Genomic DNA, 18,052 nt, shown 5'->3' on the forward strand with positions numbered 1-18,052 from the left:
TTGTTGCCCAGGCTGGAGTGCAATGGTGCAATCTTGCCTCCCTGCAACCTCTGCCTCCTGGGTTCATATGATTCTCCTGCCTCAGCCTCCCGAGTAGCTGGGACTACAGGTGTTCGCCACTACACCCAGCTAATTTTGTATTTTTAGTAGAGAAGGATTTTACCATGTTGGCCAGGCTGGTCTCAAACTCCTGACCTCAGGTGATCTGCCCACCTTTGCCTCCCGAAGTGCTGGGATAACAGGTGTGAGCCACAACGCCCGGCCCATTTCAGAAGATTTTGATAAAAAGAGAGTGAGAGAGCATTCTTCTAAAAAGAAATGATGTGAAACAAAGGAATCCAAGGAAGTTGGATTTAGTACTAAGACAATTATGACCTCAAGTTGGTAATAAAATCTCCCTGAGGTCGCTGTAAGGATTTAAAGCTCAATTTATACTAGTCTACAGGTCTCAGGTCTCAGGTCAAAGCATTATTCAAAACTCATATGAAGATACAGATTCAGATGTACGTGTATACATGCACATTTTGATGTACTTTAAAAAATTCTTAAAAGTAAGTAAGTACCTTTTGTGCACTAAGAACAGCAGTAAATATATTAAGCCGCACAGCCTGCTGGTTGAAAACCAAAGTAGGATCACTTCTTGCTTTTTACCTTTTTAATTTAACATTGTATCATGAGCATCTTCTATCAAAACACTGTCTCTACAAAAATGGACTTTCTATTATTTATTCACTTATCCTCCTACTGTTGAATATTTATGTTATTTATTATATGTTTATATTTTTAATAGAATTTATTTATTTATACTTCATCTTATTCTGTAAAAGTGATCATACAGAATTGAGATAATCCTGGATTTCAGTTATAGCTTTCATAACTAGTTGTATAACCTTGGGTAAACCAAACTCTTAGATATGGATGTCCTTAAGATTTAAAACCAAAATGTTGAAATAGATGCTTTATAAGATTCTTCCACCTTTAACATCATTTAACATTTATGTGGCAACCAAATGTTCTTAAAGATATTTGGGTAAAGTTTCATATTTAAACTTTTTTCTCCTCAAATTAAAAAGCAATTAATCAAGCAACCTACATATTAAAGACATTTTTTATTTTGTAATTTTTGTAGAGATGAGTGTCTCACTATGTTTCCCAGGCTGGTCTGAAACTCCTTGCCTCAAGCAATTCTCTTGCCTTAGCCTCCCAAAGCGCTGGGATTGCAGACATAAGCCACCACACCAGACCCAACAATACTTTTAAGGCATTTTAATTTTGTAAAGCTTTTAAGTTATCTGTGATGGTCTTGTATTAATTCATTTCTGTTTTCCTTTTGGGAAAATCACAATATACAAACTGCCTACTAAAGCTAGGAATAGTGTCTGTGGATACAGAATATACCAAACCAAAATGCTTCTATTACAAAAAGAACCAATTATGTTAGTTTCCAAGTTCTAGACTTGAACCATCTCACAAACGTTATTAGTGATTGGAATTTTCATCCATTTACTTCCTCAACAACAAAGTCAACAGGCTTAGCAAACTGATGTCCTTAATTTAAGATATAGTCAAAACCTATGTATGAACTATCAAACAAACTATTATAATGCATTTTTTTTTTTGCCAACAGTTGTCATTCTAGCATATATAATGAAAATTTTGTTATAAAATACAGTCCACAATACAACAGATATCAGATGCTAGTACACAGGGTCAAATCTTACATAAAGTCTCAAATTATGTGCAATTTGCATGCAATTTTTTTATCATGTATCTGTCACTTACATTAGTAAATCTGTAAGAGTACTGTTTTAAGTATTATAATAACTCACTTTATTGCAGAGTTAACTGGGATGAGAAAATCTACTTTTCGTTTAACATAATATATATTTAACAAAAATTACCTGATTGACTTTATACTAACCGGTGTTTATAAGAAACATGAGGAAACACTACACCAAAAAGGGCCACAGAAGCATCAATGACTGAGACTCCGAGAGGGAGGGGACCAGGTACTGCTTCTCCAGCAGGTATGCGTAAATAAATAGAGGAAGGATCATGCTCCAGAGCCCCACTTCCAGAGGCACTGTTTGGCTGGAGCTGCAAAAGAGTGAAATAAAAATTATTCAAAATCTACTTTAGGAAATCTACTTATTAAACATTGGGAATGAGGATTACAGCAGAGGAGAAAGGAGAAAAGGCAACAAAAAAAGAATGATTGGATCCGAACATTTGAAAACAGACCAAAATGTAATTTGGTCATTAAAAAATCATCAGTAACACCTTATACAAATTTTAAGAAAAGCTTTATTCATTCGAAAACATATTTACACCACCCACCTTATTGCGTGAACAATATACACAAGATCTTAATCCCACAATTATTTTAAATGGGGCTTTAATCACTCTTTAAAAAGTACATAAGAAATAATGTATTCAGTGGGCAAAAGTTCTAAATCTTCAACCTACTAACTCATTCCTCTCCAACCTGTCACAAAACAAAACAAACTAAAACAAAACAAAATACCAATAACCAAAAAGCCAGTTAAAACTGATCTTTATCACAGCCACCACAAGGTATCTAAATACACAGAATATTAAATAAAGACAATTTGCCAAATTCTCACTCTTCCTGTTTAACTTTTTTCACTATCTACCACCAGGATGCCATCTTTAAGTGTCTAAGAACACTAAATGGGGATTAAACCTTTCTATACACTATTTTCTTTTTAAGTGACAATGTGTAATAGGACCATTGTTTCAGATTAAGTTAGTATTTCATTTTCCTCTATGTTTATTACCTGGTCTTCAATTGATTTATGATCAGTTTCCTGAAGCCAAGAACCAAGAAGAACACTATCATCATAATGGCAGAGGGATCTGAGGAGGGAAGTAGTTGTGTTGGCTGAGTTGTCAGTCAAAGTGAATTCCGCTACCAGTTCTCTAAGAAGTGCATTAAAAGATCCTAAAAAACAGAACTTCAGATCAGATTAAAAAGAATAATTTTTGTGAAAATTATAATCATTGCCCACAAAGAGCTGCAACATGTTCAACAGGAATAAAATAATTAAGTCTCTGTTCTCTTCTTTAAAAAAAATCTATATTTAAATGCTGGTTTTAATATACAATAATGGTACTTCCTTTCATATATTGTATTGTGTCTTTTAGCCCAAATTATTTAAAATAACCAAAAAACTCAAATAGAGGAAAGAGAGGCGGGTGCCATAGCATGCTTGTAGTCCCAGCTACTCAGCAGGCTGAGGCAGGAGGATTGCTTGAGCCCAAGAGATTGAGACAAACCTCTGCAACACAGCAAGACCCTGTCTGAAAGACACACACAAACAAAGATACTTTATTTTAAATATATTAAATGTGATATGATTATTATTATTTATTGCCCAATAATGTACAATGAACCACAGCACACCAAAATTCTTTGGCATGATTATACTGGAAAGAAATCAATAGTTTATTTTACTATTAATATTTTACATAATATTTGATTTCTCCCTCCAGATCCTCGAATTATTTGCTATATTACAGTATATAGGAAGCATTTCAGTGTATTAATCAAAAGTGCACACTTTGAAGATAAACCAGCTAGATTTGAATCCAAGCTCTGCCACTTAACTACCTCTAAGTCTTGGGTAAGTTAAGTTTCTTTAAGTCTCTCAATCTGAGATTCTTCATCTATAAAATAGGGCTAAAGGCCTCATAAGTTGCAACACAGTCAAAAAGCTAATACAAAAGGCTGAAAACGAGACCCAGAACACAGTAAGGAGTCAACAAGTATCAGCTACTCTACATGAAGAAAAATAAAATGGTGGCCTTCCTTTGCACAGTAAGTCAGTGGGAGAGCCTTTGTCAAGACTCTATAATACGGTGAAGAATTGTAAAGAAAAATTTTTATCAGATACCACAAATTTTTAATTTACCTTCATAAGTTTTTGGAGGTAACAAAGCCAAGATATCATAAAGTCTTAAACGGACCATTGCAGCACTAGCTTTCAGATGAGCTCCATGGGCTTTCATTACAGATGGAATGCTAAAATATCAAAAACATAGTTGGTAATGGCTTACCAGAATAAGTATTACTTATAAATTTTTTTAGCAATGTATCAATGTACTGCCAAACTACACTGATAAGTATACACTTTCATTTTAGCTTATGTTGTGATCTTTGCTGTAACAAAAACACTTTAAGATACAACTGTATTTCAATCCACACCATTGCTGTAATTTTTAAAGTTATATTACAAAAATAAAGTTTTATGTTTCCTAGATGATTCTAGAAGAAAGCACAAAATATGGCTGAGAAGTATATTATTAATATATAAAATAGGATGTGAACTTGTCTCAATCGCTTACTTACTGTGACATCATAGTCATGGCACATTCAATAGGGGTCATCAATTTTCGAATCACATCTTCAGTTAGTAGCTCAGGACAATGTGCAACGAAGCTCCTCATGGCTAGATAAAATGTTTAAAAGGACAGATTTGGAGTAGCTTTTGTGAACATGAATTAATTTATAAAATTGTATAAATATAAAGGCAGTTGTAATACTTAATTATTATAACGTATAAGGTTCTGAAACCATGTCGAACCAAAAGAAAAACTTGCAACAACTACAAAGAAAAATCGTGGAAAAGGCTAGAAAAAAGGTGGATAGAAAAATGGAGGAAGAGAAGGTACTGGTTAGAGAGATTCTTCGGGTGGAAATTCAGAGGACTATGATCCCATAGGAATTCAGATGACTACAAAGAAAGAAATTTTAAGGCATTGTTTATACACATATACATTTATGTGTATAAACAATGCCTTAAAATTTACATGAAATTTTTACATATATTAAATATATTTTTGCAACTTTTACAGATATATATGTATATGTGTGTGTGTGTGTGTGTGTGTGTGTGTGTGTGTGTGTGTATATATATATATATATATTTTTTTTTTTTTTTTTTTGAGAGAGTCTCACTCTGTCAACCAGGCTGGAGTGCAGTGGCGGAATCTCGGCTCACTGCAACCTCCACGTCCTAGGTTCAAGCAATTCTCCTGACTCAATCTCCTGAGTAGCTGGGACTACAGGCAAGCACCAGCACGCCTGGCTAATTTTTGTATCTTTAGTAGAGACAAGGTTTCACCATATTGGTCAGGCTGGTCTAGAACTCCTGAGAGTGATCCACCCGCCTTGGCTTCCCAAAGTGCTGGGATTACAGGCATGAGCCACAGCACCCGGCCACTACATATATTTTTGCATTTTGAATTTTTACATATATTTGTGTAAATATATATGTATATAAACAAAAATGGTCCAGTGAGAAAAAAATATTTTTATTGGCCCCTTAGCAATAGAGCCTAGACTAAAACACCTCCTAGATGTGTGAGAGTAAAGGTGCCCCCTTGCCTGGCTGCCCTTGTGGTGAAACATGTATCTCTCTCCCAGTTTGGAAAAAGAAGTAGTTTTCACTCTGAGATAAACCAAAAAAGAACTGGTACATCCAATGTCATTCTAGTTATCAAACGAAACAAAACCTGAGCGTTTCCTGTAAGCTGTTAACTCCCAGACAAAAACAACTGTATCCGTTATTTTTGTAATGTTGATATCTGAAAAATATATGAAGGTTTGGAGATTTGATAAGGATGTGAAAAAACAGCTGTTTCTCCATTATGAAAAGACTAACTGCAAATGCCAATAACTTTGGTAATCCTGAGTTTCTTTTTCTTTAAATAGCTGTTGGGTATTTTTTCTTTTTTTTATACATGGTGACTCAGTGCTTCTTTGACAGGTAAGATAGCAACAAGTGGGAATAAGAGGCCTGGGTTCTAGTTCCTGTCTAACCACCAGGTCTAAACACTTTTTCAGAGTCTGGGTTTCATTTTTATTACAAAATTAGCAAACTGAAGTGGATCATTTATAAAGTTTCTATTTAAATCTAAAAGCCTATGAATTTATCATTACCTAGTAAAATAAAAAACTATAAAATAGTGATTTTTCTTTTACTTTACAAATATTTTAGTTATGTCATAATATTGTGAAGCACAATCCTTTCAGTTCTTACCACATAGAGCTCCAGCACGACCTTCCAAAGTTACCTGCCAGGTAAAAGAATCGCCTCGGGCCTTCTCAGCTTCCAATTCCTTTAAGGAACGTGGGAAAACATTTCGCCACAATAACAACATCTTGGGCAGATGGTAACGAACGACAGATGGTCCTAGCCAAGAAAATGAGAATACAAAACCATGTATATGTAACATACCTTACAAACAAGTGTCAAGCAAAATGAGCCCAACACAAACTTTATGTAATTTTAGAGATGAAAATAGAGTAAAATACTGATGTTTAACAATATCTGTTATTTCACTCTATTTTTATCTCTAAAATTACATTATTTTCAACCTTTATTCACTGATTAAAATATAGATCAAAGCATAACAAAATTCACCTTAAACTGTCAATATTTTTAGAATCCAAACATAAAATACACAAAAAGCAATTTTTAAAGGATAACCCAACTGTATTGAGAATGGTGGATTGCATATTATCAATAAAATATATCTGAGACACATTCTATGAGGTCTTTTTCATATACATATGTATATAAACAAATATACCCACTCACACACACATACAGATACATATTCCTTAGTTTTGGGGGCAATTTATGTGGTTAATTTAGTTTCATGGAAAGGCAATATATTCAGACCTAGGAATCTATATTTACATTGCTAAAAAATTCATTTAACATACCACTGAACATACTTAACATAAACTTCTGGAAATGAGTTGCAACTTTTTGTTTTCTTCAGAAAAGAAAAGTAGGTCAAAGTATAATTTCCAACAGATAGATGCTTAGATCTGTGTCATAACTTTGTAGTACATATATGCACACACTTTTTACAGCAGCAGCTAAACATATGAACTAAAATATGAACATACCCCATCACAATAATAGGTATTTTTGTACTATGTACAATGTTAAATTTTGCCTACAATGCAGATTTGTCACACTACTTAAGAGTGAAACACATTAAGGGTTACCCCAGAAAAGCAGCACTAACAATACCAATTAAATGTGACTTTACCACTCTTCTAAAATCACACTGCTGGTTTTCACTTAGGGTATGAAATTTTCCCTCATATTTTCATCTCTTTTAAACACTAAACTCATCAGGTAGACAAAGGTTATTCTGATGGTAAAGGTGAAACTTTGCTAACAACTTTCTCATTAAATGTACTTAAGCAATAATTACCAAAAAGAGAAATCTACTAGCAAATGACGAGGAAAACATCTTTACACCATTTTTACAACTTCAATGAAAATCCAGAATGTGAAGCTTAACACTTTTAAATTAAATTTGCTTTACAGGCTACTGACAGTTATAGCGTGACAAAAATCCTACTCAAATATAATTATACCTAAAGTCATAAGTGCTCCAAGTAAAAGCCAGCCAGCTTGGGTGCGCTGTAAAGATAGCCTGCTATTTTGGGCAGCAGTTCGTAAAAGATCTTCAGCAATACTAACTACCATCTGCAAGAAAAGTTTAGAATTGGATTTTAATTCAAACAAGTTAAATTAAATAAGGAAACAGATAACTAGCATACATTACTTAAAAGAAGTTGTTGGCTGGATGCGGTGGCTCATGCCTGTAATCCTAGCACTTTGGGAGGCTGAGGCAGGCAGATTGCCTGAGCTCAGGAGTTCAAAACCAGCCTGGGCAACACGGTGAAACCCTGTCTCTACCAAAAAATACAAAAAAATTAGCCAGGCATGGTGGTGGGCACCTGTAGTCCCAGCTATTTGGGAGGCTGAGGCAGGAGAATTGCTTGAACTGGGGAGGCGGAGGTTGCAGTGAGCAGAGATTGCACTACTGCACTCCAGCCTGGGTGACAGAGCGAGACTCCGTCTCCAAAAAAAAAAGAAGTTGTCCTCTCGTGTTATTAGCATGTTTTTGAAAGAGGCAACATCAAGACCTGGTTAGTCTTGATTGCACTGATGACTCTGAAGAGACCCAGAACAGTGTAGTAGTTAAGGACAAGCTCTAGGGCCAAATGCCATCTCTGCCATTTACTCGCATTCTCATTTAGCACTGCTTAGTTCCATCACTGGTAAAACAGAAATAATAGGAATGCCTATCTCAGCCTTGCAAGGATAAAATAAGTTAATACAGCATCTATGCTACTACTTTGTCATTTCATCATGTGACAAATCCACTTCTCATTTTTCCTGTGTCTTCTAAGACTGTAAGCTCCAAAAGATTAGCTTACTTATTTGTTTGTTTTTTAGAGACAGGGTTTCACTCTGTCACCCAGGCTGGGGTGCAGTGGCACAATCATAGCTCGGTGTAACCTGGAATTCCTGGGCTCAAGGGATCCTCCTACCTCAGCCTCCTGAGTAGGTAGGACTACAAGTGTATGCCAACATACTTGGAAAATTTTAAAAATTTCATTTTTTATTTTTTGTATGACAGGGTCTCACTATGTTTCCCAGGTTGGTCTCAAACTTCTGACCTAAAGTGATCCTCCAGCCTCGGCCTCCCTAGGCATTGGGATTACAGGTCTGAGCCACCACGCCCAGGCAAGGTTAGCTCAATGGTAGATGCATAATAGGAGTTCAACAAATCTTTGAATGTGGAATAATAGTGCTAATAATGACAGCATTTATTTAGTGGTCACATGGGCTAGCACTGTTCTCGGTACTTTGCTGTATTAACATCCACACAGAATGGCTAGTATAGACTTAAATTTGGTGCAGCTGAATAAGAGGGGAGATGAAACTCTAAGAGGTTAGCAGAGCAAAGGCTTCGAAGCTGAAAAAGGCCAGGGAAGGAAGGAAGATAACTAGTCTAATTAGAGCAACAGGAAATTTGAATGAACGGCGGAATGAAGTCAAATTATAAGATACCAGTTTACCAGACAAAGGAGATTATATTTTACTCTCTGAGTACTGGGTAGTCCCTAAGGGTCTCTGGGCAAATGTAAAATATGAAAGTGGTATGAGGAAGATGGGACGTGTGGGGAAGATGGAAAGTCTGAGGAAGATGAGAATGAGGAAGCAACGATATGACAAAGTGAGAGGGAAGTCTGGATTTCATCGGTAGCTATGCAACTGCTATGAATGGACATGGGCTTAATGTCCCAGAAAAAAAATCAAAATTTAAAACTCTAGCCCCAATCTGCCTATGTAAAGTTTCAAATAATATTTATATAAACACTTAAGATTACTGAGAAGAAAACCATGATAGTAGTATACAACAGAAAGAAAGGAGAAAAAAAAGCTACTCATATTTTTTATTTTATTTTATTTTTTGAGACGGAGTCTTTCTCTGTCACCCAGGCTGGAATGCAGTGGTGCAACCTCAGCTCACTGCAACCTCCGCCTCCTGGGTTCAAGTGATTCTCCTGCCTCAGCCTCCCAAGTAGCTGGGATTACAGGCATGGGCCACAATGCCCGGCTAATTTTTCTGTATTTTTAGTAGAGACAAGGTTTCACCATGTTAACCAGGCTGGTGTCAAACTCCTGATCTCAAATGATCCACCTGCCTCGGCCTCTCAAAGTGCTGGGATTACAGGTATGAGCCATCATGCCCGGCCATGATTTATTAAAACCACTCAATTTTTACTAAACATTATCAAAATGCTAAATATTACAATAGCGTATTATCCTGACATCTTTGAATATATAGCAATGTGAACTTTTATTTCTAAAAGCTGAAAGAAAAGCTCTGACTTTCAAATAATTACTATATCTAAGGTTGGGTTTTTTTTTTTTTTTTTTTTTGAGACAGGGTAGGTCTTGGTCTGTCACCCAGGCTGAAGGACAGTGGCATGTTCATAGCTCACTGTAACCTCAAACTCCTGGGCTCAAGTGATCCTTCCAACCCATCCTCCCCAGTAGCTAGGACCATGAAGTTGGCTAACTTTTTTTATTTTTTGTAATGATGGGGTCTCACTATGTTGCCTAGGCTGTTTTTTTTCTCTTTCCCTCTAAAATAAATTATAACATGTTACTAGACTTGGACAAAATCTATTATCCTTACATCAGAATTAAATATCAAATTATAATAGGGTCTGTTAACACCATAGTAAGAACACTATGTTTTATGATAACATAGTACAACTGTTATTTGACCACCCTGTTCAACACTAAACACAGCAGCGTTCCTATAAAGACCAAAGCCCACGTGACAGCATTCCCAAGTCTAGGATCTCCGTCATACCTTTCCTTTGGCATGAGGAATGCCCAAAGGACACTGATGTACTCCACCTAACAAAGCAGCCATTGCAAAACTATATCCACTGACAGCTTCTGGTGAGGTCTTCAAGTTGTTGAGCCGTTCTGCACACCTGTCTAGAAATGGTGTCAGCTGGAAAGGTAATGCCACAGCCACACAGCGCAAACACCATGCAGCAGCAAGTCGGGCAGCCATGCTTGGATGAAGCAGCACTGAAGTCACAATCTCCAAAAGCCCTAAACAAGAAATACTCAAAATATTACTCTTTAATGAAGTCAAATGATTTCAGAAACTCAAATACTATCTAAAAAACAATAACTGAAATGACAATCACCAAGCTTTCACACATATAGATCCACAACTTTGCCTAAAACTACATACAGTAGAGTACTTCAAAGGAACATTTTCTATGAAGAACATAGTACAATTATATTCAATATTGATGTAAAATTTAATAGAAGTCTTCAACAAATTTTAGTCAATTTTTATAAAAAAACTACCACAATTGCTTTTGATTTCTGTTCCAAAACTTTATTTAACCATTTAATTCAATATTCTTTACAAGGAAACTTTTTTTTTTTTTGAGACTCACTTTGTCCCCCAGGCTGGAATGCAGTGGCATGATTTCGGCTCACTGCAACCTATGCCTCCTGGGCTTAAGCAATTCTCCTGCCTCAGCCTCCCAAGTAGATTACAGGCACGTGTCACCACAGCTGGCTAATTTCTGTATTTTTAGTAGAGACAGACTTTCACCATGTTGACCAGGATGGTCTTGAACTCCCGATCTCAAGTGACCTGCCCACCAGGGCCTCCCAAAGTGCTAGGATTATAGGCACGAGCCACCACGCCCAGCCTATCACAATGAATATTAATTTAAGTAAAACCTGATGATCTGAAGTGCTAATGATGATGATAAGCAACTAATCAGGAATTAAATATCAATCACACTTATGACTGAAAAAAGTGGAAACACATACTAGCAAGTAACTGAATGTCATACCTATAGATGCTTCTTGAATAAGAGGGGATGCGGTGGCATTCAAGCTCTGCACCAGGCTCCCGAGTTCCTGGAGGGCACAGACCATCACATGCTGGCTTGCTGCAATGTCTGCTGCGCCAGATTTGTTTTCTCCACTTGTGTCATTCACTACTGCTTCTGGAAACACAAAATCATGTCTTTGACATAGGAGAAATGAATTGTGGTATGATTTTTTTGGTCTATACAATTTATGATTTTAGCCATACCAGTTGATGTCCGAGTGTTAAAAACTATGCAGTTATTTCTCAATAGAAAACTTGTAGAACTAAACACTGAAGTGACTTAAAAATGTTGTTTAATAGCTTTATAATAATGCTAAAATATATACTGAGATACATCTTTGCTTCCAGGAATACAACCTAATTTTAGCAAGCAGCAGCAATCCAGTGTATAAAAGCACAGATACTGCAGAAAGAAGACTCGGGTTCAAATCCCAATTCCACTAGTTATATTAGTTATGTGACATTGAGCAAGATGTTCAATTTTTCTGTCCCAATTTCCTTATCTGTTAATGGGCTTACATGCCTATTTCAAACGGTACTGTGGTGATTAAAAAGTCAGTGCATATAAAGAATTTAACACAATGCTGCCCATAATACACATTCAATAAATGTTAACAGCTATTATTACTTTATTACCATTGCTACTTTAAGTGTTCCAATATATTGGAGGTATCTGTTAAATTACTGACCAGAAAATGAATCTATAAGGAAAATGCCTTAAGTTACCTCTTACTGGAATGTTTCTGTAAGTTCCCATTAATTAACCTTGCTGCCTGCTACCCCAACCTTTTAGCTTCCACTAGAATCGAAATGTGTTTGACAAGAGACAACCAAAGATCGCTTGCCAAACTACTAATTGAGAATACATTCTGGCCCACAAATCCCCAATACGTATCATTATATTTAATTCTGCTTTCAGGATTTAAAAAAAAATCAAATAACGAATTTATGACCTTAACATTAAGAACCTTTAAATGATAGTAAAACTTTCTTTTTTGCATTCATTATTAATTAATAGACTATAAAATACATAATACAGACTAGGATATAATGGATTAATAAATTGAAGACTATAATTAAATTTTTTTTTTTGAGACAGAGTCTTGCTCTGTTGTCCAGGCTGGAGTGCGGTGGTGCCATCTCAGCTGACTACAACCTCTGCCTCCTGGGTTCAAGCAGTCCTCCCAACTCACCCTCCTGAGTAGCTGGGACTACAGGTGTACGCCACCACGCCTGATTAATTTTTGTATTTTTTAATAGAGACAGGGTTTCGCCATGTTGGGCAGGCTGTTTTTGAAGAACTCCTGGCCTCAAGTGATCCACCCATCTTGGCCTCCCAAAGTGCTGGGATTACAGGCATGAGCTACCATGCCTGGCCAAATAACTCTTGTTTTTAGGTATTTCTGGACTTGGAAATGCATAAACTCTAGCTTTTGATTGCTAAACTTTAAGCTCCCTGAGGATAGGTGCTGTATGCATCTGGCTTGCTATTTTACTCCCACCATTTGACGCGGTGTTTCTGGCACTAAACATTTCCTCAATGAATCAATGTGCAAATTATTCTTTAAGTTGTGAATCTAAGACAGATGACTATTTTAGCATATTTAAGGAATGATATCTCATTAATTTAAACACTTTAATTCACGATTCATAATTTTCAGTTAGCTCTATACATTTAAAACTAGTTTACTGGCTGGGCGTGGTGGCTCATACCTGTAATCCCAGCACTCTGGGAGGCCAAGGCAGGTGGATCACTTGAGGTCAGGAGTTTGAGACCAGCCTGGCCAATGTGGTGAAACCCTGTTTCTACTAAAAATACAAAAATTAGCAGGGTGTGTGGTGGCACACGCCTGTAATAACAGCTGACTCAGGAGGGTGAGGCAGGAGAATAATTTGAACCTGAGAGGTGGAGGTTGTAGTGAGCCAAGATCGCACCACTGCACTCCAGCCCGGACAGCAGAGCTAGACTCTGTCTCAAATAAAATAATATAAAATAAAAAATAAAACGAGTTTACTAAGTAAGCCATTATAAACAACAAAAACTACAACTATTTATATTTTTTTACTAATTTCATAAAACATTTCATACATATATCTCTAAAAAATAAATTATTGATATTTATTCATTAAATCCTTATTTCAAAAGACCTCTATTAGTCAATATAATTTCCCTTATTAAAGTTAGTATAGTGAAATAGTGAATAATAGTGAAAAAACTAAACTTTTAGAATTTATATTTTTGCCTTGCTTTTAGTATTGCTTTTATATTTAGTTTATAACTGGATTAAAAGCTCCATGAAGGGAGAAACTTTATCTCATTCATTATTTAAACCCTGAATTACTGCTCTGCAAATCTAAGACAATAACTATTTATTAAATTGAAAAATTTATAAAACTGGTATTTTAGAAAAGAATTTCTTGTAATTATGTATAACTGAGGTTTCACAGTACATCTTACAGCGGGCTAATAACCATCTGTAATTGTTCCTCTCTAAGTTTTCATATTAAGCCTACGAGGGGAGGAAAAGAAACAATAAAAATATATGTTTATAAAACAACAGGCTCTAAAAGCAGAAAGAGGACAATAGATTACTCCTTGAAGACAGCAACCAATGTGCTGCTGCATGCCAGAAAAGTTATAAAATCCGTATAGGTACTAGAAATAAAACAGAAAACACAATCTTACCAACATACCACCCAAATCTTTAAAAACTCTATTTCACTGTAATTATGTGATTTTAATATCAAATAAGAGTACTCAATAAAAATCACTATGAAAACACACAGAAAGATAAACTAATCAGTCTTATGGATATTTATTAAGAATCATAATAAAGAACTAAATGACTAAGGTAATCAACACACATAATGATACTGATTCTTACCTACGGCTTTCATTTGTTTTCCAATAGCTTGGCAGATTTCTTTGGCAGCTGCAATCTGGGCTTTTTCACCTAGCAAACTGCCCACAGTAGCTCTTAGGATAAAGGAAACACATCGTCTGGAGTACACAGCCTCCACATGTGTTTGTGTTGCCCGAGGATGGGAAACCAGATCAAGTACATGGGACAGGAACGTGGCAAAGCTGCGCTCCAACCACTGACCACCCAATGTTGTCACAAAAACAACATACGCCTGTAAAAAGAGGAAGGTACGACTTCAGATACACTTACATAACTGAACAGAAATCAAAGATAAAGCAACTACTAAAATAACTGATAACAGCATGCTGAATGAATTGTATTTGAGGCTAAAACAGAGAAAATTTAAACTTGAGGTCTTTTTACTACTTCTGGAATACGAATTATTAGTGAAGTATCTTTGACCAAAAAACAGTTCTTAAGATAACAACTTCATGAAGAACACAAAGGGACAGCAGTGAGAGGGAAGGGAAGCTGAATTTACCCCAGTGATCGGGAAGGTAACAGGTTACAGAAACAAGAAAACCTTAACATCCTAAATAAACACTGACTTAGAGCTATAAAACCCTTACGTACGACTTTTTCTGTAAGTTAAAAAATTGTTTACTTATATTTTATACTTGTTTCAGGATCAAGGTACAGTTATGATTTTGACTAAAATCGTGATTTTGACTATGATCACCATTTCATCTTATTAGGTGTTAATTATTATTAGATCATTAACCATAACCTCTTATTCCGTGTTATTTTGAAATTATAATTCCAAGTCAGATATAATCTTATAATTACACTGGTGATTAAACACTGATAGAAAATCCAATCAAAGCATTAACCAGTATTTTTAGCTACAGGGTTGTTGGAGAATATTAAAATCTAAATGCTCAAGCTACCTGAATACAGTTTCAATGAAAACTGAGTTACTTTATATCTGATTTTCTGTTAAGCAAAATGTAGGAACTTCATTTAAAGATATTTACACAAATATGGTAGACACAGGCTTATTTATATATTATTAAATATCTACCGAATTTCCATATAAGCATGTAATTTGGAATTTGAATGTAATTCATTCATTCGGTAAAAGAAACATTTCGAAAGAAACCAGACAATATTAAAAATGTCTCTGTGAGCTGTTACTTAGTAACAGTTTTCCACGAAGTTTCACAAGTGATATGAACAAAATCTTTTTTTTTTTTTTTGAGATGGAGTCTCGCTCTGTCACCCAGGTTGGAGTGCAGTGGCGCAATCTTGGCTAACTGCAACCTCCACCTCCCTAGTTGAAGCGATTCTCCTGCCTCAGCCTCCTGAGAAGCTGGGACTACAGGCATGCGCCACCACACCTGGCTAATTTTTTGGTGTTTTTAGTAGACATGGGGTTTCACCATGTTAGTCAGGCTGGTCTCAAACTCCTGACCTCAGGCAATCTGCCCGCCTTGGCCTCCAAAAATGCTGGGATTACAGGCGTGAGCCACCGTGCCTGGCCAAAATTCTTTCACACATACGTGTTACAAACCTGCGTAACTCCAACTCTCACTTCACGATTAACGGACCCTCCAACTTTTAACATTTCTCCACCGCTCTTTAAGAAACCTGACCCTCCACGCAGAAATCCTGTGGCCATGAGTTCTAAGACTTCATCAAATGTTGCTCGCTTCACATTCTGACGCATTACTTTCAAGAAGAAAAATTAAAGTATAAGCAAATATATTTCTGAGGCACTCTAGCTTAATAATTCAAGTAATTATTTTTAAGGACACTTTACTACAATGGGGAAATGGTTTAGTTTCCTTATAATTGTTTTCTTAAAATTTTCAATGTACTTGTAAGCCTGAATTCAATTCCAAAGGAAAAAATGCTCAGAAAATGGAAAGAGCTAGAAATAAAAGCAATTCAATAAATCTACGCAAAATAGTCTAATAATAATAATACTATGTGTAACACAATAAGGACAAAGCATACCCACAGCAGATACTACTAACTGATCTCAGTTCTCATTCCCGCCTGAGGTGGACACAAAAAACTTTTCTCATCACAGTGCTTTCTATACAGTAGTTACCAATAGATTAAGATGTTACTGGGAATGCAACTGAATTGGCATCCCTAGTACAGAGTTTCATATTTTATGAAGTCCTTCCACATATAGTAGCAAATGCAATCCTCACAAAAATTCTGCAGAGGAGGTATAAAGCTCATGGCTAAGAATTCAAGCTTTGGTATTTGGCTGCCCGGAATTTGAATTTCATTTCCGACACAGAACAGTTTTTAGAAAAATAGTTACAGAATCTAAGTCTCAATTTCCTCATCTATAAAATAGTAGTAACAGTCCATATAATTCACAAGGGCTTTTATGAGGATTAAATTTTGTAATACACTTAATTCAGTGCCTGGCACATAGTTAGCACTTTAAAACATTACATCATCATCATCATCATCATCATCATCATCATCTACTGAAATAATTATCATTAAAGATGAAAATCAAAGCTCAAAGAAGTGAAATAGGGTTTCACAGTTAATAAATATAAGAGACAGGACTTGAACCTAAAACATCTGGTTCTCTTTCTATGATACAGAGGTGGGGTAGAGGTAGGGACAAGACTGGGGCAGGGTTCACTCAGCATCTGCTCACAGGCACCCCTGAGATATCTCTACGGAACTGTGAAGCAAAGCAAGAGTAATTTGAAAACTCAGTGCTGCCTCTGATTCTGTTTATAATGATAATCAAGAAAAATTAAAAATTAATACTGTGGTACAAATGGGGATCTACTCATCAGAGACAGAAAATAGCAAATAAAGTGCTGAAAATAAGTAGCAAATAAAGTGCCAGATTCCAGTACCTTATACATTATCCAAAATCATTTCATAAATCTTATGTGCTTATATGTCCAGCATAATTGCTAGATATCCTGTACATTATCATCACAAAAAATGTGACTACATCAAGGAAAATGCCATTTGGGTTCTTTTTTTTTTTTTTTAATTTTTTGAGATGGAGTCTTGCTCTGTCGCCCAGGCTGGAGTACAGTGGTGCGATCTTGGCTCACTGCAATCTCTGCTGCCCGGGTTCATGCGATTCTCCTGCCTCAGCCTCCCAAGTAGCTGGGATGACAGGTGCATGACACCATGCCTGGCTAATTTTTGTATTTTCAGTAGAGACGGGGTTTCAGCATCTTGGCCAGGCTAGTCTTGAACTCCTGACCTCGTGATCCACCTGTCTCGGCCTCCCAGAAGTGCTGGGATTACAGGCATGAGTCACCGCGCCCAGCCAGGTTCTTTCATTTTATGGAAAAGTAGACAAAGATACCTAAAAATTTAAATCCATTACACTGACTTGCCTATATGCAATAACTAATTAGGTCTGTTATGGTCTAAATCAAGGGCAAACAACAATACCTGTTGCCTGTTTTGGCATTAATGCTGTGGCCATGACTGTTCCTAAAAGTTTAGACACTGCCACTCGTACCCCATAATTTGAGTTTTCCAAAGCCTTAAAGCAGAGAGTGGCTATATTTTCTAGTTCAGCAGTCCACATAAATACAGCTTCATTCTGTAGTTCTAGTAGACACTGGAATTAAAAACAAAAAAGTAAATAACATCCTATAACATCTGCTTCCAGAGATGGAATAGCAAGAACCAGACTTACCACCTCTCCTGAGATAACCAAAAAACTCGACAAAATAAATGAAACAACAGTTTTCAAGACACTGGACATCAGGCAATGAAGCATCTTTGAGGAAAAAAACAAGATGAACCCTACAACTGTCCCAGCCTACTGCCTTGAGAGAGTTTCTAGTTAGGGAGAAACATGTAACACTAAACCACCACATTAGAAAAGAAGAAGGGTCTCAAATCAA

General features: G+C 36.2%; 1 protein-coding gene across 11 annotated transcripts in view; it reads right to left on the bottom strand.

The window, feature by feature from the left end:
* Positions 1 to 18,052, bottom strand: part of HEATR5B (HEAT repeat containing 5B) — a 103,478-nt gene that overhangs the window by 73,624 nt on the left and 11,802 nt on the right. For 10 of the 11 annotated variants that reach the window (XM_047444812.1, XM_047444810.1, XM_006712035.5 and 7 more), the window contains exons 6-16: positions 17,592 to 17,763; positions 15,712 to 15,869; positions 14,163 to 14,412; positions 11,237 to 11,392; positions 10,222 to 10,472; positions 7,421 to 7,532; positions 6,063 to 6,215; positions 4,370 to 4,469; positions 3,933 to 4,042; positions 2,799 to 2,962; positions 1,922 to 2,097 (exon numbers count right to left, since the gene is read on the bottom strand). In XM_047444812.1, coding sequence (XP_047300768.1) covers positions 1,922 to 2,097; positions 2,799 to 2,962; positions 3,933 to 4,042; positions 4,370 to 4,469; positions 6,063 to 6,215; positions 7,421 to 7,532; positions 10,222 to 10,472; positions 11,237 to 11,392; positions 14,163 to 14,412; positions 15,712 to 15,869; positions 17,592 to 17,763 — 1,802 coding nt within the window. Of the gene's footprint in view, positions 1 to 1,921; positions 2,098 to 2,798; positions 2,963 to 3,932; positions 4,043 to 4,369; positions 4,470 to 6,062; positions 6,216 to 7,420; positions 7,533 to 10,221; positions 10,473 to 11,236; positions 11,393 to 14,162; positions 14,413 to 15,711; positions 15,870 to 17,591; positions 17,764 to 18,052 lie in introns of those variants that run through there. The other variant, XM_011532935.4, reaches the window with a different exon arrangement.

The sequence above is a fragment of the Homo sapiens genome, chromosome 2 (assembly GCF_000001405.40).
Source record: "Homo sapiens chromosome 2, GRCh38.p14 Primary Assembly".
Classification (NCBI taxonomy): domain Eukaryota; kingdom Metazoa; phylum Chordata; class Mammalia; order Primates; family Hominidae; genus Homo; species Homo sapiens.